General features: G+C 38.0%; 2 long non-coding RNA genes across 2 annotated transcripts in view; one reads left to right on the top strand and one right to left on the bottom strand.

Moving 5' to 3' along the window:
- Nucleotides 1–22165, top strand: part of ADAM7-AS1 (ADAM7, ADAMDEC1 and ADAM28 antisense RNA 1) — a 252805-nt gene that overhangs the window by 9181 nt on the left and 221459 nt on the right. The window lies entirely within an intron of this gene.
- LOC107986932 (uncharacterized) lies at nt 12468–14467 on the bottom strand. The gene is made up of 2 exons (XR_001745845.3): nt 14378–14467; nt 12468–12683 (listed from the first exon to the last, which is right to left on the bottom strand). It is a non-coding gene; the product is annotated as an uncharacterized LOC107986932 (long non-coding RNA).

Here is a 22165-nt window from a genome sequence, read left to right as displayed (position 1 = left end):
GTGAGCCATGATCATGCCACTGCACTCCAGCCTAGGTGACAGAGGGAGACCCTGTCTCAAAAAATAAATAAATATTTTTTGTCTTTCTAAATTATTATTTTGTTAATCTCTTTATTTTTATTGGTTTATTTATCTGAGACAGGTTCTCACTCTGTTGCTCAAGCTGGAGTGCAGTGGTGTGAGCATAGCTCACTGCAGCCTCGACCTTCTGGGCTTAAGTGTTCCTTCCACCTCCATCTCTTGAGTAGCTGAGACCACAGGCGCTGCCACCATGCCCTGCCCGAGAAAAAAATATCTTTAGAAGAATGGTTGAGTAACACACTGTGTTTGCTTAGGGAGAGACAGAGATTGGGACAAAACAATTTGAATGTAGGAATCTGTCTTCTCTATAAAAATGCTGTGGTCTTAATAGATGACTGATTTGTTATAGTTCTAATAAAGTTAATGGAAAGAATCAAAACCTTTCCAAGTATTTTTTGCTTTTACTCTAAAAATCAATACCCAGCTTTCCATCAAATTACAACAAAAATGAAGCCAATACGTAGATTTTACAGAATCTGCCAGGAGCATCTGCTTAAAATGACCTAATGCAAGGACAAATACCCCAGTGCCTTTTGTGACTCCTCAAGGCTTGACCTATTAACAGTCAGACTTGTGTTCTCTGAGCAAAACAGCAACAGGGGATATCAATGGTAGTGTCTTCTCTTTGGTTAGACTAGGGATTAAGCCATATGCTATACCCTGAATTTCAGTGGTCCCATAGAGTCTCTGCCAGGTTGACCTTGGATATTGTCTATGGAGGTGAGTCCATATCACACCCACAATTTCAACCTGGTACTTGCCTGATTCATTAGTTCCCTTATGAAGCTTTGCTTTAGTGTTCTACCTAGACTCATGGCTAAGATACTGCTGTTTATGTAGCTTATTGGTTCATTTATTTACATAACGATTATTTATTGAACAATTACAGTGTGCCTGCTGAGTACTGGATTAGAGCAGGACAAGGCTGAGATTCCCTTACCTTCACATAGTTTACAGTCTAGTGAGGTGACAGATAATTAACAAGAAATTGCTATAAAATGTGATAAGTGTTTATGGAGGAAGTATAATTCCTAATCCCTGAAGAGGCTAGGCCTAGAGTTCTCAATGAGGAAACTTCCTGGACTCATAGCAACAGTTTCTCTGATTGTCAAGAATCCTACTCCCTCTTCCTTGGATTTTTCCATAAAATGCTCTCCCTACCTCATTCTGTTCCTCAACACTGACCACTTGGAACACCTTAACTGAGGCCAGTTTCACTGCGCTGGGACCTGCCTGGTCATCTCTGCCGCTGGCCTTTCTAGCAGGGTCAGATTCTTCTAGAATGGCTCTGGTGTGTGTGTTTCAGGCTAGCCATTGTGTCTTACTCTCCCTCTCAACTGCGTGTTATACAGATTCTATGCACATCAGTCCAGAAGGCTGCAAAGACCCCTGCAAACGTATCTTCATGTAAACTTTAACTTGGAACTGACTTTCTCTGTAGCCAAACCATGTGGTGCCTTCTTAAGATACAATGCAGTGCTTCTTTAAGGAACTTGGAAATTCTTACAGAGCACCTAAATCACTTTAAAGCCACTGCTATACTATTTAGTTCCTTAATAAAGGAAGAACTTTTATCATGTACAAAATGAAGAAAACAAATATTGATATAAGGATCAGAAAGAAGGGAAGACTTCTAGCTGCAATGCACCATGACATGTAAAGCAATCTTGCAGTTATTTGCTAAGGAATACCCTAGTAGCATAAAAGAAGCATTGTAACCACCAGGATGAACTTGCTTACAGAAGAGAGTAAGATTTGTGGCTGGATGACTTTCTGACATTAACATTGATTCCATGAAACTATTGTATACTAGAGATGCTTAAATATTTCAATAAGATCTACTCATAGACAAATCCACTATCTGCAAACATTTATTACACAAAAAGCAATTACAAGGAAGCATATCAAGTGACTGGGACTTACAGTGATTTAACATTCGATCATGACCACTGAGGGGCTTACCTATTTTAAGAGACGAGCAGCATATATAGAAAAGAACAACTGTCAGCCCTCAGTTAAGTATTAAATAAAGGATACTGGAAGTGAAGAATGGGAACAAATTCACGGGGAGCCAATGCTTGTGTATAATGTAATCCTTATAATAAGTATGCAAGATTTATATTGGTATATCCATCTTGCAGATGAAAGACAGGAGACTGAGCTAAGTTCAACCTAATCAAGGCAAAATGCTATTAACTATCCACATTCAAGTCAGTTATACAACAAAATGTGAGGTTTTCCACTCAATTGAAATTTTGATAGTCTGGAAATTATGGGTTTCTTATCATAATATCTACTACCCAAACTGGGAAGCCTTTGAGAGTGAGAGGGGCTGTTGTCAATAATTACTCTGAAACAACAGAAGTAAAACAGTAAGGACCTGGGAAAATGGGGACATATGATCATCCTATCAGATTTTATTTAAGTTATGTCTCATGGGAAAAAAAAATAAAGACATAGAAATTATTTAGAGCAGGATCAAAGGCAAGTGTCCCAATCAGTAACTTAGAGAAGGAATCATCTCTATGACCCCGACCCACCAGATTCAGCTGTGTTCTTAGACCCACAGTACTTGAGTCTAATATTCTTTAGCTGCATGGTCGTAAACCAACCAGTTATTTGCTTGAAGCATGTAGCAAGTGAATACTGTGTTAATGAACATGAGGTCCCAAGATGGATCCTCAAATGAACCTGTGAACTTGCTTGGTCACCACTGTCCTTTCTCTGCAGCTAGCTGCCTTATATTTCTTATATCAGTCATAGCGGTGCTTAGAACTCAGCAATTGGCCTCGATTTGAATCTTCACCCTTTCTCTTAAACATGTGACATTTGGCAAGTTATGTAACTTGATTTTGCCTGAATTTCTTTATCAGTAAAATGTGGAAAATAATAGCATGTATGTCATAGAACTTGAATTCCAAATGTATTCATGACGTTTAGTATTAGCATTTATTAGAGTTATCATTACTTTCTACCACCCAAGGTATGGGATAAGTAGCTCAATAAGTGTAATCTTCTGATATTTGGCAAAGAGTATCATTAGTAATAGAGAGGTGAGTTTGGAACTGAAAGTCTTGGGTTAAAGTCCTAGCTCCTCCACAGAATGTTCCTGACAAGTCATGTTACTTCCCTTAGTCTCAGCTTCTCAAGTGTATAAATTGGAGCTAATACCTACCTTCAGAGAGCTTTGCCTATCCCACAAGGTCATTGTAAGCATCAATATTAAGGTATTTTGTATTATGAAAAGTGATATATAAAAGTAAATTATTATAATTTGTAATTCTCACATGTTTTATTATAAGTGATTTAATAAAATTTGTATGGCCCTTGGCAACTTTCAAATATTTTGGAATAATAATTCCTAGCTCTTGTATCACCTTTGAAATAACTGACTGTTTATCATTGCAGAGTTGGCTCAAGAGCTAAAAATAAAACCACTATTGTCAGTTTTTGTGAAGTAAACTGGTTTCAGAGTTGGCTTATGAGACAAAATAATGGCCAGAAGAGCAACTGGCTACAAACGTCGTATTATATCCAAGCCTTTGAGAAACAACTAACTGAATCCTCCCAAATATGTGAACTGAGTCCCAATATTAAAATATATTATAAATTATGAAAACACTGCCAGAGTTAGAGCTCACTGTGCTTAGAAGAGAATGCTGTGCTGCATTGCAGACAAATACGAATAGCAAGGCTGAAACCAGTTAAAGAAGTCAGTTTTAATTCCCATTTGCTCCCCTATTGAAGGAACCAGAGAAACCAAGAGTACCAGAGTTCAGCAGTGGGCCAGAGGGGTCCCCAGGGCAATTTCCAGGGAAAGATCATAAATCAGGTACAAGAAAAAGGCCTCTGTACTATATGCAGTTGCTATAAAAATCAGGTTCCAAGTGAAAATGTGGAAGTTTCCAAGTGAAAATCTTGTTAAAGCAAATAACCAATACATGTAATTTTCATGGAAAAAATCTGTATTTTAAAAGGGCATAGTGAGATTAATATTCACCACCCTTAAAAAACATGCAAGCACTTTCATCCACATGCCCAGAGCTGGTGTGGACTCGGGGTGCTTAATGCTGTAAAGCCAGTAGCCTATTCATTATTCACATCAAGCAAAACAATCCCGTTGTCCAGTTAGAGGAACCGGACTGAGTTAACTTCCCTAAGCTCACAAGCTGGCTGTTTTCAGGTTTGTTCTTTCTCATAGTAAATTCCACCATCATTCAAGTATATCAAGGAGAGAAATTTCATAAAATACACTTGAAACTTAAGTGGTTGAAAGAGCTCATGGTTGCCTAGCAACAGGGCTTCCAGAGGTAAGCAGAGTGACAAGCTGAAGAGATCTCTAGAGAAAAGAGCAAACCTGGCCTCTTGCTGTAGCCTTTTCTGGCTATATTAAGTGGGAAAAGCATTTCAGCGGTTGGAGGGACACCCTATAAAACGACGTGCTTGAACTAGATGATCCCTGGAGTTCCTTTCACTGTTTTATTTATGATTGGATGAACTGTCAAGTTATTGGAGTCTTAGCCTCTGAGACATGACACCTGGGTTTAGATCCTGATGTTATCAATGAATACAACTTCTTTGGTCATTCCCAGTAAATTCTAGACTTGTCTAATTCTTTATGTAAAATACCACCCTTTCATTATATGATTCTTTTCCATGATTTACTTAACACACATTTCTAGTGCACTAACAGTGTACAAGGCATGGTGCTTATGTTAAGGGACTAAACGTGAGTAAATCATAAACTCCATCCTCTAGGGGCTTGTAGCCTTGCAGAGGATAGGAAAATGTACACAGAGGTTTATGAAACAGGGAGTAGCCTTAGAGGGCACCTAGCAGAAAGTCTTTTTGTTGACTCCCAAGGCTCCGTAGTGATCTGGAAGGCTTTTATTTTAGGATGGAGTTTATATTGTAGTGAGTCCTGAAAATTTGCAGCCATCTTCCATATTTTGACATGATAAAAAAGGCCAGGTGTGGTGGCTCACACCTGTAACCCTAGTACTTTGGGAGGCCGAGGCGGGCGGATCACAAGATCAGGATTTCGAGGCCAGCCTGGCCAGCATGGTGAAACCCTGTCTCTACTAAAAATACAAAAATTAGCCGGGCATGGTGGCACATGCCTGTATTCCCAGCTACTCGGGAGGCTGAGGCAGAAGAATTGCTTGAACCCGAGAGGCAGAGGTTGCAGTGAGTCGTGATCACACCAATGCACTCCAGCCTGGGCAACAGTTGAGCAAGACTCCGTCTCAAAAAAAAAAAAAAAAAAAATTGAAGCTCAAGTTAAATGACTTGCCTCAAATCACACACTTAGTAAGCAACAAAGGTAGGATTCAAACTACTGCTTACTCATTACACATTGAGTTTTTTGTTTGTTTGTTTGCAAATTAGGCCATTGATAAAAGGGGAAAATTGATAAATACATATAAAAGATATAAAAATAAAGTGGTGATGGTCCTTGAAAGGAGCGAGAAATTGCACCTGGAAGGAATGAGGAAAAACTTTTATCAAAAAGGTAGCATTTGAATTAGACATTGCGGGATACATAGAATTAGGTCTCTGAAGATAGGAGAATACAAATCCATGGCAGAGGGCCAATTATGAATAAAAGAAACAAAATATGATTAGTAAGACTAGACACAGCAAATGTTGAGAAAATCAGACTAGCTACAAGAATCAGATATGAGAAGTGGAGCAGCAAAAGGCATAAGTGAGATAGCTTGAAACCAGCTATGAAGGCCAGGCCTAGGGGTTTTTATTTCATTCAGTTAGCATTTGGGAGATATTAACACTTTTGAGCAAAAGAATGGTGTCAACGTATTTATGGTCTTGATGGAGTCACAGTTATGATGGATACAAATTGCTGTTGTGAAGACCGATTAGGAGGTAGCTACAATTGTCCAGGAAAATGCATGAGGTGGCAAGAAGAGTGATAATTATCAGGGAGGGGAGGAGAGAATGGACTAAACAGATTTTAGAGGCAGAAAGAATAGTATTGTAGACAAGCTGTCAAAGGTAAGGAAGTGTTCAAGTGGTCCCGTGTGGCAAGTGTGCTTGACAGCAGGATAGGGATGTCAGGGCTACAGCTATAGACTTTGGCATCATCTGCCCACAGAAGAATATTGGTAGAATGAGGATGGATAAATAGCCAAGGGGAAGATTAGGTTCTATTTATAAATCTGTAGCCCCAAAATTAAACAGCAGGAACCTTAATTGCAGGAGGCCATATTTTTTATCTTTAATAATGTTATAATTATAATACATAGTCAGAAAAGTGCACAGATATTGAATGTGAAAATGTCTGTCTTTTTACTGAGAGACTGCAATGAAACATTATCTACATCCTAGGATGCCTCAAGTTCTTCTTTTGTCAAGTTATAGTAGATGGGTGACAATTTCCAGGACTCGCTGTAATATAAACTCTATCATAAAATAAAAGCCTTCCAGATCTCTAGGGAGCCTTAGGAGTCAAAGGAAAGGCTCTCTGCTTGCTGCCTCCTAAGGTGCTACTTCCAATTTCATAAACCTCTGTTTACATTTTCCTGTTCTCTACAGGGCTGCTAGCTCCTAGAAGATGGAGTTTGTGATTTACTCATGTTTACTCCTTAACTCTTGTTCTCTGTGTCTTTTCTTCTGTTTCCCAGAGGTAATCACTATAGCCACTTAGTTTTGTCTGTTTTTGCCCTTTATACAGACACAACCACTGAGAATATATCCTTCTGTGTTTGGCTTTTTCTGCTCAGTTATGCCTACAGAATTTATCTATAATGTTGCATGTACCAATAAATTATGTTTATTTATTATTGTGTAGTACTCTATTGTATGAATAGCCCATGATTTATTTATACATTATTGTTAAATGATTTGAAATAAAAAAATAATCCTGCTATGACATTTTTGTGCATGTGTACATGTATTTCTATTGTAACTCTGCGAATATTATTTTTGTGTGTGTGCATGTGTGTGTGTGTCTGTGAGTGTGTGATTCTAATTTTTAATGAAGTAGGATCGCGTTAGGCCCTTCCATGGGTCATGATGAACTAACCATCTGTAGCTGCTCAGTGAGGACATGAGTGAGTAGGCATAAGCCAGGCCAGAACTAACAAACCCAAATGTGGTGCTATCTCTGAGAGCTTAAACAAATAAGAATGAGAGTATCCACAAGTAGCATTATTTCTTGATTTGAGCTGTCTGTTTACAGAGAGGAGTCTGATCTAAAGAGTGGTGCAAAATAAAGAACTTCTATATAGTGGAGATATGCCTGGTAATTAGAAATCAATGTCATGGTTCCAGGTGGTCCATGTTATTTTGAACAAAATAAAGACCAACATATGAAATAGAGAAAAGTGGTCCAGTCCCCAAAGCAAATAACAACGGGGTAAAGTAGTATGTCAGGGTCCTCTCTATTTCAGCTGGGTTTCGGCTCCAATTTCCAATGCCATCAGGAAACTGGATTACAAATAGAGTGCGACTCAGGAAACAGAAGCAGAAGCCCAGGTATGTGGTCTGGAAACTCATGGTAGAGGTTAATGAAAGATTGCAACTCACTGACAAGCAGATGTCTATGAATCACTGCAGAACAAACCATGGGCTGGTTCAAGCAGGACCAGTTCTTGACCCTATCCCAGGGTGGCTACCAGTTTTCTTTTGGTCTCCTTTGGTTTAATCTAAATTGGATCAGAGCTGAGTCTTTACAGGATAGGCCCAAGAGCTATAGCCCAGCCTGGAAGAATGGAGCAGGAATTAGCTCATAATCACGATACCCTAAGATGTTTCAAACCTATGTATTCAAAGAGAGATCATTCTAAATAGATTACCTATGCATTTTAAAGGCAAAATTAGGAATTTTATTGCCTTATTCTTTTGGAAACAATTTCCTTTGCTCAGTGGAATGTAAAATTAAGACAGACAAACCTCTAACCTATGTGTAGGCTATAGGATCAGAAAGTTCCTTCCCTAGTGGAACTGCAATGGGAACTCAAGGGGAGGGAGTGTGGGCAAATTAAAGGCCTCAAAGAGAAAGCTTATGATAAACATGTTATGCCCAGGGTATTCTAGTAAAAAATGCTACACACTGTAATACTGAATTCAAACAAGGGAATTAAGTAGCATACCTGCCCTTCTGTTCCTTTTTGCAGTTGTGAGAAAATGCATTCTATTTCCAGATTCCTAAGTTAATGAGTAATACATTGTGTTTTACAAAGGAGCCTCCTTGAAATGCATTGATTGGTTTGTATTCTAGGACATGAGAGCAACTTGGGAGATCTGGGGATGTATAAAATGTTTACTCTTACTTCTTGATAGTTAATCTTTACCTTCACTTTCCCCTGCTCTTCACTGGGCAATTTCAGTATTCATTAATTGTTTTAATAGAGTCTTGTCAGGAAGGGAATAAACAGGAAATCATAGAGTTAATAAAGATCTTTTTAACAAGGTCAAATTTAATAACATGTACTTGTGTTTTCTATATGCCAGGCTCTGCCCTGATTGCTTTACTTATATTTACTCAGCTAATTATTATAACAATCTTATGATGTAGGTACCATTATTACAACATACCTTTGATGAAAGTGTGGTACAGAATGATTATGGAACTTAACCAGGTTTACATGTATAAACAGTGAAGAGTCAGACTCAAGTTTACTGGGCTCAACCTGTGCACTTAACCACCATACTATGCTGCCTTTTAATTATGTGTGAGCACTACAGGCAATAAGAAGACCAAGCCCTAATTTATTCAATAGACCTAACTTTAGTGTCATCTATGAATTAGATACTGCTGTGATCTAAGTGTGGTAAATATGACCAAGACATGTCGTCATTAGAATTGGTAGATATATGTTTAAAACTACAGATGTGAAAATAGGCACCGGAGTTCAAATTTTATGTCCAATATTTTCAAAGAATCAGAGCAGAGCTAGGAGCAAATCTGTGGTTCTTTTAGCACCTGGTTTAAACTTTAACCGTAGCCTCGTAGATTTTAACCACAATATTTTACAGAAGAACATGTTCCTGCAACTCTTTCATATCTGCTGGTAAAATTCCTTCGTCATGATTTCATTTCTTCTTCTTATTCTGCTCATAGTGTAACTGGGTTTCCAATGACTATCTATTCCTGAAGCTGGGGGTAGATGAGAAAGCTCCTAGGTTTTAGATCCACCTTGTAGCACCTTGGCTTTGTTTAAATGTACCATTCCCAAATATTGAGTTTCGGGAGCTGCAAGACTGGAGTTGAAGGGAAATTGGTGCCGCTTGCTAGAGGTCACTGCAATGTAAATCAGAGTCACATCTATGCTGTGTTTATGCAAAGTCACACAACATAATCAATGAAGCCGAAGGAAATGAATGTGAAAGCAGTCATTGTGTTGGCCACTGTACAAAAGTGTTGTAACACCATGACACTATCACCTACCCCGCTGAACCCCAGTAGATTTTTATTACATTGCATAATACTGGGTGACTTAAGGCCAAGGGTTCATTAGGTTGCATGGAGGCATTGACACTTCAATGTGGTAATGAGTCTTCCACAAATCACAAACCTCAGTTTCTGTGACTTTCACATCAATCTTGGTAATGTTTTTCATTTTGCTCTTTAAAAGAGACACCTGGTACTTTATTTATTTTTATTTATTTTTTTTTAGACAGGGTCTTGTTCTGTCACCCAGACTGGAGGGCAGAGACACAATTTCAGCTCACTGCAGCTTCAACCTCCCAGATTCAAATGATCCTCCCACCTCAGTCTCCTGAGTATCTGAGACCACAAGCAAATGCCACCATGCTTGACTAACTTATTTTTAATTTTTTGTAGATATGAGGTTTGCTATGTTGCCCAGGCTGGTCTCAAACTCCTGGGCTCAAGCAATCTGCTTGCCCAAGCCTCCAAAGGTGCTGGGATTATAGGCATGAGCCACCGTACCTGGCCGAGACCTGGTATTTTAGACAATAGCTCCCAGTGGCCCTGATGAGTCTACAATTCTGGAGCTGAGATGAATGGATTTATGAACGTAGGACATGGACAAAACCCAGGAAACTTAAAAAGCTGTAACTCATCCCTGCCTCTGAGGCCATAGAATGACAAAGTCAGTTCTGTTCAGGCTCCTACTCCTTGCCAAAACAAAACAAAACAAACAAACAAAACAAAAAACAAAAAACTAAACACTATGACTTGCAAAATCACTTATAAAGATTTTCTCATTGATCAGACAAAAAAATTATAAAACATTTGGGAAATGCAAAATGTCATACCAATTCCAACATGGTTCTGTTAATTTGAAACCCTGAAATATACACATATAATTACACTATATGAAAACAAATATTTCTTTTGCTTAATTTCAGGGCAGAGTTGGTGCTTTCAATGAGTAACCTGGCACAGTGTAAGCAGCATGAATTTAAGTTCAGAGAAACCAAAGTTTCTCTGAGATTTACCATTTACCAGGTATGTGACCTGCACAGATAACTTCTCAGAGCCTCAGTTTTTTAATCTACAAAAGAAAGACAATCACACACACACACATACCACATACAAACCCGTCACGATTTGTGAGGGCTGAATGAGATAACCTAGGCAAAGTACCCAGAAGAATTTCTGTCTTGCAGTTTCCATAAAGTTTTCTATATAAATCACTAGAGGATATCATGTTCAATACAAGAAACAGACTAAGGTGGCCCATCCCAGCAGAGGTGCCACAAAGAGAAAACCCTGTTTGTGTCATTCTTTCTCATTCGAGCTCCCTGCTTGGAATAAATATCCATGTGGACTCATAATAGTGTTTCATGAATAGATAGAACACTTTTTGAACCTCATGCCATAATGGGTCACTGTGAGTTTATTGATAATGGAAAAATTATATTGGAGAAGGTATTGCTGTGGTTCAGATGTGGCTTGTTCCTGTCAAAGCTTATGTTGAAATTTGATTCCCAATATGGCAGTTTTGGGAAGTGGAGCTTAGTGGGAGGTGATTGGGTCACAGGGATGGATCTCTCACGAGTAGATTAATACCATCTGGGGAAGAAAGTTCTCCCTCTTGCAGGATTGGATTAGTTAGCAGAAACCAGGTTGTTCTTTCTCGTGTTTGGTCTCTTTACACATTCCCCTTCTCTTCCCCCTCCCCTCTTTCTACCATGAGTTAAAGCAGCAAGAAACCCTCACCAGGTGGGCTGCCTGATTTTGGAATTCCCAACCTCCAGAACTGTTATCCAAATAAATTTCTTTTGTTAATAAATTACCAAATCCCAGATATTCTATCATAGCAGCACAAAACAGAGTAAGACAGGTGTCCAGATAATATGTTGTAGCAGAAGCAGCACCAGACAGTTGCTAGGTATTTAGGGATCTAGTTTCATCTGGCAGCTAACTAGCAAGTCATCCAGTTTCTCTGAGTGTCAGTTTCCTCACCTGAAAAATGAGAAAAATGCCCCAATGACCATTACAGCCCTGAACCACTCTTTGAATCTGTGAAGTAAAATTCCTTCATGACAGCGTGAGTTCTGCAGCTCAGCAAATGGACCAACTGCTATGGAAGATTTAGAAGGTTTTAGAGGAGTCAAAAAACCGATCTCTATTATTTCCTAAATGTGGGTTTAGCTTAAGGAGTTTCTGGAGCACTGGCTGATAGCAAAGCAGTGGCTCCATCGCTGAGGAGAAAAGTGCAAATGAGTTTATTCCAAATGGGAATATTGCCTGCAATGCAGCAGTATTTTTCTAACAGTGTCATTAATGAAGCTATTCAATATCTTGAGGATTTTACAACAATGTCATATGAATTTGACAGCATTTCATTTGGAATGTTTTATATAATACTCATGCATTTTAATAAGCATAATGGGTAATTAAGATGCCACAATATATTTATTATTCTCTCCTAATACCCTGTGAATCCAAATGGATTAACACATGTATTGCTTTGCATTTTACCCTCTCCCACATTAAGGAAGTTTTTCTAGGTCAGGGGCTGTGTGTCACTTTTCTCCTCACACCCAGCACATAGCATTGTGCTTAAACTGTTATTTATTTGGCAAATAAGATAATGAATCAATATTGGGTCACAAAGATCTGACGAAGTACTGATTTGGGAGTTAATAGACATTCAGTTCAATGACAATCTACCAGGAAGTTTAAATTTAGAAAATGTAGAATTCAGGCCCTATCAGATCCAGGCAAGTAATTTTCACTTATCTGAGCTTGCATGTCCTCCTTGTCAAATAAGAGGATAGAACAAGGTAATTGTAAAGGTATTTTTCCATTCTAAATTCAGTACTTACATGCTACATATATATTGTATTTAAGAAACTACACATATTCAAGGAATACTAAAATGGCTTTTCTCCTCAAAAATATAAAATGACTGTCCAGTGCCCAGATAAATTTCAGTTCCTTAGATCTGGCATTCCATTCCTTCGTCAGAACATACAATTTATTACATTTGACATGACACATTTTGCAAGGTTACTTTAAACATACAATATTCACTATCGAATATACAACTTTGGAAGATCAATAGCATTTCTTCTCACAATTGTCCATTCACTTCATTTTAAACTTCTTGAGTGAGGGATTGTAGTTTTTATTTTGGTTCTCATTGATGCCTTCCATATAAGAGGTGCTGAAATATATGAAAGTATGAATGAATAAATGATATCAAAGCTTAACTTCCTTCAAACACACACAGCGAATGAATAAAACAATGAGTAAAACCAGTTAGAAAATAGGAAAGGACTATAGAGGGGATCTCCTTTAGCTATAGGCTTGATTTAATTCAGAGAGACATAGCTCAACAGTATGACTATTGAAAATTCTTAGAAGAAAACTCAGATCAATTGGGCTGACCATATATATATTCAGATAAATGATTTCTGTTAGTTATACCAGGTGAGTAACATGTGAAAGGTATTGATTATGAAGGCTGAGTGTCCTAATTTAAAATCTTTTTGTGTGATTTTGAGCAAACTACTAAATACCTATAGACTTAATAAAGTTGTTACTAAATAAGGAAATGCACAGAATAGTGCATGAAGCTTAACTTTTTAAAAAATATTCTAAATATGCTAGCTTTCCATTTTCCTCCAAAGATTTTGTATTTCTTACAGTTGTCCTTAAGGGAAAAAGGAAGCATCATATGCAGAAAATTTAGATAATCAGAAAGCTTAGACCACTTTATGACCTGTAATCTTGTTGGAGTCCATGTCATATGGACTTTGTAGCCATTTCTGATCCTTTTCATCTCTTTGCCCTTTTTCTACATTATTGCTTCTTTTAGACTACATTTCAAAGCGTGTGTCATCACAGAGGTAGCCTGGGCCTAAAGAATTATTATCTACTCACTTTTCAAGAAATAGCAAGTAAGGAAACTTTCTTGTATGGAAACTACTTCTGGGTGAGTTTCTGAACATTTTGTCAGCTTTGCAATTTCCAAGTGCAGAGATGTGTTGAAGGCTTATTTATCTGTCATCTGTCTTCTGAGCGGATCTTTAGCAAAGTGCCATAATTCTTTGTAAGGCTCGCTTAACTAAAGATGTAAAGATTTCCACATCTGCCATTATGGAAGAATGGGCTTGGCTTCTACTGGTTTCTACATTGTCCAGGAAGTTTAAAAGGGCCATTTTGAAGATAGCATTACCAGAGTTCCAAGATCTCATTAAATTAACCAAAACTAGTAGAACAGAATTCCTTCCAGTGGCCTGTCACTTGTCTCTTCAGGTTGATTTTATACCTTCCATGTTTTCCTATTGCTGATTACATCTAATGTAAATACTTCTACGTAACTTTCAAGATCTGCCTTTGAGTGGCTTCCTCTACCCATCTGACTTTATCTTCCATTGCTCCCTAAACCCCACTCCCCTCAATGTATTAATGTCCTACCTCATTATCTTTGCACAAATGTTACCTTTCCCTGAAATACTCTCTAAACTTCTTAATCCTTTTTATCTGTCAAGCCCAAGTCAATTTCATCTTGTCCATAAAGCCTTTTCTGATTTGTCCAACCTTTGTAATGATCAGTTTCTTACTCCTCCTGCCTTCTATTATTGGAACGGAGAACGTTCTGCTTGGATAAGCTAATGCTCTGTAAGCCAAGCCTTCCCAACACTTGCTACCATCAGCCGAACCTCTTTGTATCCATAGGCAGGCAATGCAATTTTTGTTTTATGCCTGGGAGGAATATTGTGATTAGAAGCAGGGTTTATGAAGAGGATAGAGGATGGGAAGAATAACTTGATTCCTCATTTTTATTTTTTTGCCTCTTTTCTAAGATTGTAGGGAATTGAGTTTTATAAGATTTGGTGTAACTATTTGACTTACCTGGATATAAGCTGATCTGCTTTGGGCCCCATATAATTGCATGTGACACCAAATGGGAAAAGAGGATGAATATTCTCCTTCCCCTCCCTTGGCGTGAAACTCAGCAGAATTTTGACACTGTGACAGAATTTTGGCACTGTGACAGAATTTTGACATTGTGACAGAATTTTGACATTGTGATGACGGAGTCCAGGCAGGTCACAGGTGCTGCACTTGAATGGGGGATAATTGATAAGTGTGAATGAGAGGAGTAGCAGGAAGAGGATGATTTGCCATTTTGCAAAAAGGTATATTTAGAAATAGGAACACTTTTACACTGTTGGTGGGACTGTAAACTAGTTCAACCATTTGGGAAGTCAGTGTGGCGTTTCCTCGGGGATATAGAACTAGAAATACCATTTGACCCAGCCATCCCACTACTGGGTATATACCCAAAGGATTATAAAACATGCTGCTATAAAGACACATGCACACATATGTTTATTGTGGCACTATTCACAATAGCAAAGACTTGGAACCAACTGAAATGTCCAACAATGATAGACTGGATTAAGAAAATGTGGCACATATACACCATGGAATACTATGCAGCCATAAAAAAGGACGAGTTCATGTCCTTTGCAGGGACATGGATGAAGCTGGAAACCATTATTCTCAACCAACTATCGCAAGGACAAAAAACCAAACACCACATGTTCTCACTCATGGGTGGGAATTGAACAATGAGAACATGTGGACATAGGAAGGGGAACATCACACACCGGGGCCTGTTGTGGGTTGGGGGCAGGGGTGAGGGATAGCATTAGGAGATATATCTAATGTTAAATGACGAGTTGATGGGTGCAGCACACCAACATGGCACATACATACATATGTAACAAACCTGCACGCTGTGCACATGTACCCTAAAACTTAAAGTATAATAAAAAAGGTATATTTAGGGTTTCAGGAAAATCAAAAAGGATGATGAAGAACCCCAAGGCTATCAACAGCAGCTAGCCCTTACCACCCTTACCCTAAAGGGCAAAGGGAGTGAACTGTTGCTGGAAGACAAAGGTGTGGGGGAGTTGCTGTTAGGGACAGAGCTGCTTGACAAATGCTGTGGACTTTAATAGAGTAGCACAGCAACTTCCCAAGCCATAGCCCTGCGCGAAAGGAGTTGGGAGAATGCAAAGCCCAGTTCCAGTCTTCCCTTTCCAAACTTCAGCCTATTGTACCTCCTATTGGACAAACTCCAAAGGAAACCACAGAAAGGAAATGTTCATTGCTGTTGCCCACAGCATCCTTGGGAAGAAAAAAGGGTGGAAAGTGAATCTGAGAATCACATAGAGAGTATCCAGCAGAGGCATCCTGATGATTGAAAGTTTTGAATTATCTGGAGAAGGGGTGTGCACAGTGCTTGGATGAGACAGCAGAAAGGAGCAAGCATGAGCCTGGGTGTACAAACAGCATAAACCTGCATGATTGCAGCCAACTCTTTATAGGTCGATCTTATTTTCACAATCCAAATAGAAGGATAAAAACTGCATTTCTTCTTTATCATGAGAAATAACAATGAAATTCTAAGCCTCCCAGCTGACTGAACGGACCCCTTCTTGGCCAAGGGGACCCAGAGAAACCTTGAAAACTGACTTCTCAGGCATGATGGGATGGGAGCTTAGACGTGCCTCGTTATACCCCTTCCTTTGCAAACTGCTGTTAAGCTTTCTTCCCTAAGGGAAAAACAGAAAACAGCCCTTTCAAAAGACTTTACCAATGGTGTCAACCAACTGCTGGATACTGGTCCACCCTTTTGTAGTTTCAACAAAACAACAAACCACATTCCTTCTGATAGGAGTCCACCAACCATGGAGTGGCTCTGGCCAGTCTACGAAGAATGTGTAATGAGGGTTTTCATGTTCTCTGCTTCACCTTTTGCCATCAGAGAGCTGAAAACTCTATGTTGGGGTCACGCACTTGCAGCTGTTTATATTCGTGAAGGGACATGAGACTCAACTGTGCATGCACACATTTCTCTTTTCATAAATATACATGGCTACCACAGCTTACCAACTATATGTATGTGTGTGTGTGTGTGTATATATATATGTATATATATGTGTGTATATATGTATATATATGTATATATGTGTGTATATATGTATATATATGTATATATGTATATGTATATATGTGTGTATATATATGTATATGTATATATGTGTATATATATATATATATGATCAGCATAAATTCCTTTTCCCTTTGCCCCTCCCTTGAGGTGTCTGTTTTTGGTTTCTGACCAGAGGCTACGCTTCCCAGTCAGAATGGTCACCCTGTAGGCTGCAACCCTTTATGAGAAATAAAGTTCTCTTTTCCAAATTGATAAACCTAATTATTTTAACATTAACAATAGTTATCATGTATATTTAGTAGTATTTCTGAGGGCTGAACACATAGTAGGTGCCAATTAAATATTTGTTGATGGCTTAGTAGACTTTGAAAGCTAAATTTTATAAAATTTGGTTATGTATAAATAAAAACAACTATCTGGCTATGGCTATTTTATCCCCATAGAACTTCTAATGAATGACACAGACAATGACAATAAGTATCCTTGCTTGAAGCTGCTTTCTGTGTATCTCAATTCCCATGTGTTCATACATTTAACATGGGGGAAGAACAACTGTTATATTTTCTATATCTGGCATATATTCTCTCACTGGTAAGGATGTTAGAATGTCATGAACAGGAATTACAATTATTTTGAGACTTTTTATGTAAAGTGAATTGAAGAGAAAGATCACCAAATCAGGAACCAATGCTTTGATATATATGTACAGCAGATCTAGTACCGTGTTCTATAAATGAGTGCTTACTGCATAGCACAGTGTTACAGCAGGAGAAATGGCTATTCTCATTCACAATCAAGTGACGAAAAACTGAGAAAATAAAACAAGCCAAAAATTTCCCCACAATTGGACATAGAAAGCTTACTACTTAGAATAGTGTTCTTCCAAATTTTTCTTTAAACTAGGATTTTACTCTTGTACTTAATATTCAGTACAGAAGACACATTTAAGTAGGCATCATCGGTATCTTCATCCTAAGGGCCTCCTCTCCAATAATACACAGCTGTTTTGAAAACTCCTAGTAGATTTTTTACTTAGGTGAGAGGTGGGCAGTGGGGTTGGCAAAGCCCTTCATGATCCACTTCTGTGTTAGAGGAAGAGTATGTGATGCCCTTGTTATGGAAGAAGAGCCTGTGTTATTGTTCTGCATCTGTTCTAAGATCTCAGATGAGCCATTTGCTGTTCTGAGAACGAGGATGGCAAGTCAGATGTCTCTCATGTTTCTATCTTAAAAATCATTATTTATTTGTATATTACTACAGGTAGTCCCTATTGATTTTAACTAGTAAATCATGCAACTTTGTAAAGAGAAATTTAACATCTTTGCCTCTTTCATTTTCTGTTTCCCACAATGACCCATGTTTAGAGCCTGAAAAATAGAATTTCACAATGTCCTTCAGGTTCTAACACACAAACTCACTTATAGGGATAGATCACCCTGTGCACCAAGTCTATTTAAGGTTAATGCGTGCCACTTACAATGGGATTGTTTTCTTGAACATATTAGTCCTTCTTCCTAAGCTGATATAAGTTCCTGAGAACAAAAATGATTTAGAGTATCTTTTCTGCTTCCTTTCAGATAAATATGATCTCATCTCCTAAACCAATTCAAACTCACTCAGTGCCAAGGTATACTGCTGACCCTGTCTTGACATGACCTTTTCAATCATACTCTGAGGACCTATTAGAAATCCTAATATTTCTGTGACTATCACTGACTTCCTTTAAAAAAAAAAAAAAACTAAACTAAAGCTAAAACTAAAACAACAATTGTGTTTCTTTTATTTCGAATATCTTGCCAAAATGCAACTTTCCTAAGGAAATCTTTGCACCTCTTGTAATGGGGGAAAAACTATACACTTCACATGTATAAGTAGGAAATTTGACTGTGAAAAGGGAAAGATTTTAACAAATGAATGCAAGTATTAATATCAGTAGCTTAGTGAATTTTTAAAATTTTCTTGTGACATAACTATTCTTCTAAAAACCGTCTTCCAATTATCTTATACATATGCACATCCTCTGAATACACTCATAAAAATTATTATCTTAGTGACTGAAGGAAAATTGCATTCTCATATTCTAAGTACTGCAATGTAATGCAAGACTTTCTAATCATTGGTTCTAATTAAAGTAGTAAATCTCTTTTAAAAATCCTTGTTATCGGTAAAGCCTTGATTTTAACACTCCTATCTTAACAGTGCTCCTTAAAGCAAAGAAGTGTGCTCATTACCTAGAATAAATGAGACCTCAGTGCTAGGCTTTTTAGTAAAAGGCAGGATACAGATACTTTGTCAAGTGAGTCAGATGCTAGTGATGCTGTCATCCAATGATGCTGTCTCACCATCACAACAATGAGCTTTGTCCTGATCATTTGCAGACTGGTAATCTCATCTATTTCATCTGTTTGGAGGGCTCATAGAGGCCATGGATTGAATTTCAAAATTCAGTCCTTTGTGTGTTTGGGTATATATGTATTGCTTTTAATTTTGAGGCCTCCCATCATATGACAGACTGAGGTCATTTTTTGTCCCATCCTTTTTTAAGTGGAAGAACTCACTTATGCAAACGTATGTGGAGAATTTGTACAAGCCTAGTGGCAGACATTGGCTTTCATGTCTGGAATTATTCCAGGCCACTTGTTATTTACTTCCCTCATTTCAGCCAGTTCTCACCAAATTGACTAGCTCTCCAATTCCAGTTGATTTCAATATGTGGACTCTTGATGCTTCCTCTACTGCAATTTTAAGGGCCCATTTTGCACATGCCTCTCTGGCTCAGCCTCAACTTTTCTCTCAGTCACAATTTCATATTGTCCTTCTGGCACTAAGTAGAGATGATAAAGGGACAGTCCTGGTCCTCCCTGACTCAACCTTGTGGACATACCCCCTTCATCCTACTCTGCATGAATTCTCCAGTGGGGAAGTCAACTTGAAATTTAAAAAAAAAATCTATATTTATATTATCTATCTATCTATCTATACACACATCCATAAGTACCGAAATATAGATATATGAGATATAATATTAGATATTTTGATCTTTATACATTGAAGACCAAAAAAATTTGCATCTCTTGGTATTTCAACTGGAAAATAAAATTATTAAGTTTTTAGCAAAATTGTCTAAGTTATTTACTCATTTGTATGAACCAGAAGTCGAATTTCTTAATTAGCTCACTGTGTCTTGTGATGGACAGCTACCTTATCTTCTTCGAAAATATTTTTTTCATAAAATGTACACATAGTTTAAAATATCAAATAATATCCAAAGATTTATAATGAAATACATGAGCTTCTGCCCCATATGTTACCACTTCTGATTCTCATTTGTTGTATACTAGACATTCCATACTTTTACATTCCCACTACCAGCTACCTCTATATTTCTAAGTAAGTTACTTGTACTTCCATTTGTACCTTTGTTACTTGCTGTCTTGCAAGTAAGAAAGTGCAGTCTGATGAGCATTTTCCTTCAATTCTTGAAGGCTTTGCTCCATTTTCTTCTAACTTCTCAAGCTGCATTAAGAAATATAATGCCATCCTATTCTTAATCCCTTTTTTATAACCTGTATTTTCTCTCGGAGGTATTGGATTCTTCACTTTAAACCCTATGACTTGAAATTTTACTATGACTTTTAAGAAGAGTACTTTTTACCTGGAAACCGAAATGCTCTAGTTTTGAAAATATTTTTTCTTTTCTTTTTCATCTCTTTCTTTTTCACGTTACTGGAACAAATATATCCATCATTATTTGAATAATGTCAACCCATTCTATCATCACTTCAGTTAGATATGTTACATCTTTTCACTTTCTCTTACATCTTTCAACTAGTCTTTTATTTTTCAACTATTTTTATTTTCAACTACATGATGTATTTTGGAATAACTTCTTTAGAATTGCCTTAAAGCTCACTAATTATCTCTTTGTTTATGTCCAAAATGCTGCTCAATACATCCATTGCATTTTAAATTTCAACTATGTTATGTGTGTTTTAAATTACACAGACTATTTTTATTTAATATTTCTATTCTTCTGGTCATCCTATAACTTTTTAAATATAATGAATGTACTTATTTTATATTTTGAGTCTATTCCAAAACTGATTATATTTGTGAGGCTTTTTTTTTTTTTTTTAATGGAGTTTCACTATTGTCGCCCAGGCTGGAGTGTAATGGCGCAAACTTGGCTCACTGCAACCTCCACCCCCAGGCTCAAGCAATCCTCCTGCCTCCTGAGTAACTGGGACTATGGGCAAGCACCACCATGCCCAGCTCATTTTTGTATTTTTAGTAGAGATGGGGTTTCACCATGTTGGCCAGGCTGGTCTTGAACTCCTTATCTCAGATGATCCATCTGCCTCAGCCTCCCAAACTGCTGGGATTATAGGTGTGAGCCACCACACCGGGCCATATTTGTGAGTCTTAACATTGTTGTTTACTTTTTCTACTGACCCTTGTTCTGGATGACTTAGTTCCAGTTCCACTCTGTGATTTTCTAAAACATAGTCTCATGTTCACAGGAAGCTTACTGTGAGATGAAACATTGAGGTTGTGATTAAAGTGGTTTGTATTTAGCTTACATTTCTGGATTTATGTTTCTCATTGTTTCTGGACTCAGGATAACCTTTACTTTCTTATCAAAACAGCAATCCATTTAAAAGTTAAAAAATAATTCCAAAACTTTTCAGACCTTTTTGGTGTTTTGTACCAGGTATATTTCTTTAGCTTTCTTGTTCACTATTTTACCAGCTAGGGAAGCTACAATTCAACCTCCCTCTTTACTTGTATCGAAACAGGCATTAACTAGAGAAACTGGGACCAGATTTACCCTTTTATCTGGAACAACTGCAAACACTTAAAGGCAAACAGTATGAAAACAACAGTTTAAGGCACAAGCCATCCAACAATGAAGGATGATGAATCCTGAGAGACTGGAAATGAAGGATCTGAACTATTTGATTTCCCAAACTCACTGCCTTCAGAGTTTTCAGGCTGCAGCACAAAGAAGGGGGAACCCAGGCAGAGCCCAGTGGATTCCCTGAGGTGAGCAGAAGGAGCTATGGATCCAAGCAGAGTAAGGCAGCTGTATTTCACAGGATGTATTAGTTCATTCTCACACTACTATAAAGGAATACCTGAGACAGGATAATTTATAAAGAAAAGAGGTTTATAATCCCAGCACTTTGGGAGGCCGAGGCAGGCAGATAACCTGAGGTCTGGAGTTCAAGACCAGCCTGACCAACATGGTGAAACCCCATCTCTACCAAAAATACAAAAATTTGCCCAGTGTGGTGGCAGGCACCTGTAATCCCAGCTACTTGGGAGGCTGAGGCAGGAGAATCGCTTGAACCTGGGAGGCGGAGATTGCAGTGAGCCGAGGTTGTGCCACTGCACTCCAGCCTGGGCGACAGAGTGAGACTCCCTCTCAAAAAAAAAAAAAAAAAAAAAAAAAAAGAGTTTTAACTGGCTCACAGTTCCACAGGCTCTACAGAAATTATGGCAGCTTCTGCTTCTGGCAAGGCCTCAGGGAGCTTTTACTCATTGCAAAAGGTAAAGCTAAAGTGGGGGTCTTACATGAAAAGAAAACTTAAAATTAACCTAGAACAGACACAGATGTTTGATTTAGCAGACTAGGCTCAGAACACTCATTAAAATAATAATCAATATGTTCAAAA

This window comes from Homo sapiens, chromosome 8, assembly GCF_000001405.40.
Source record: "Homo sapiens chromosome 8, GRCh38.p14 Primary Assembly".
Taxonomy (NCBI): domain Eukaryota; kingdom Metazoa; phylum Chordata; class Mammalia; order Primates; family Hominidae; genus Homo; species Homo sapiens.
Note: the sequence above shows the minus strand (reverse complement) of the source record. Positions and strands in the feature narration are given on the sequence as shown.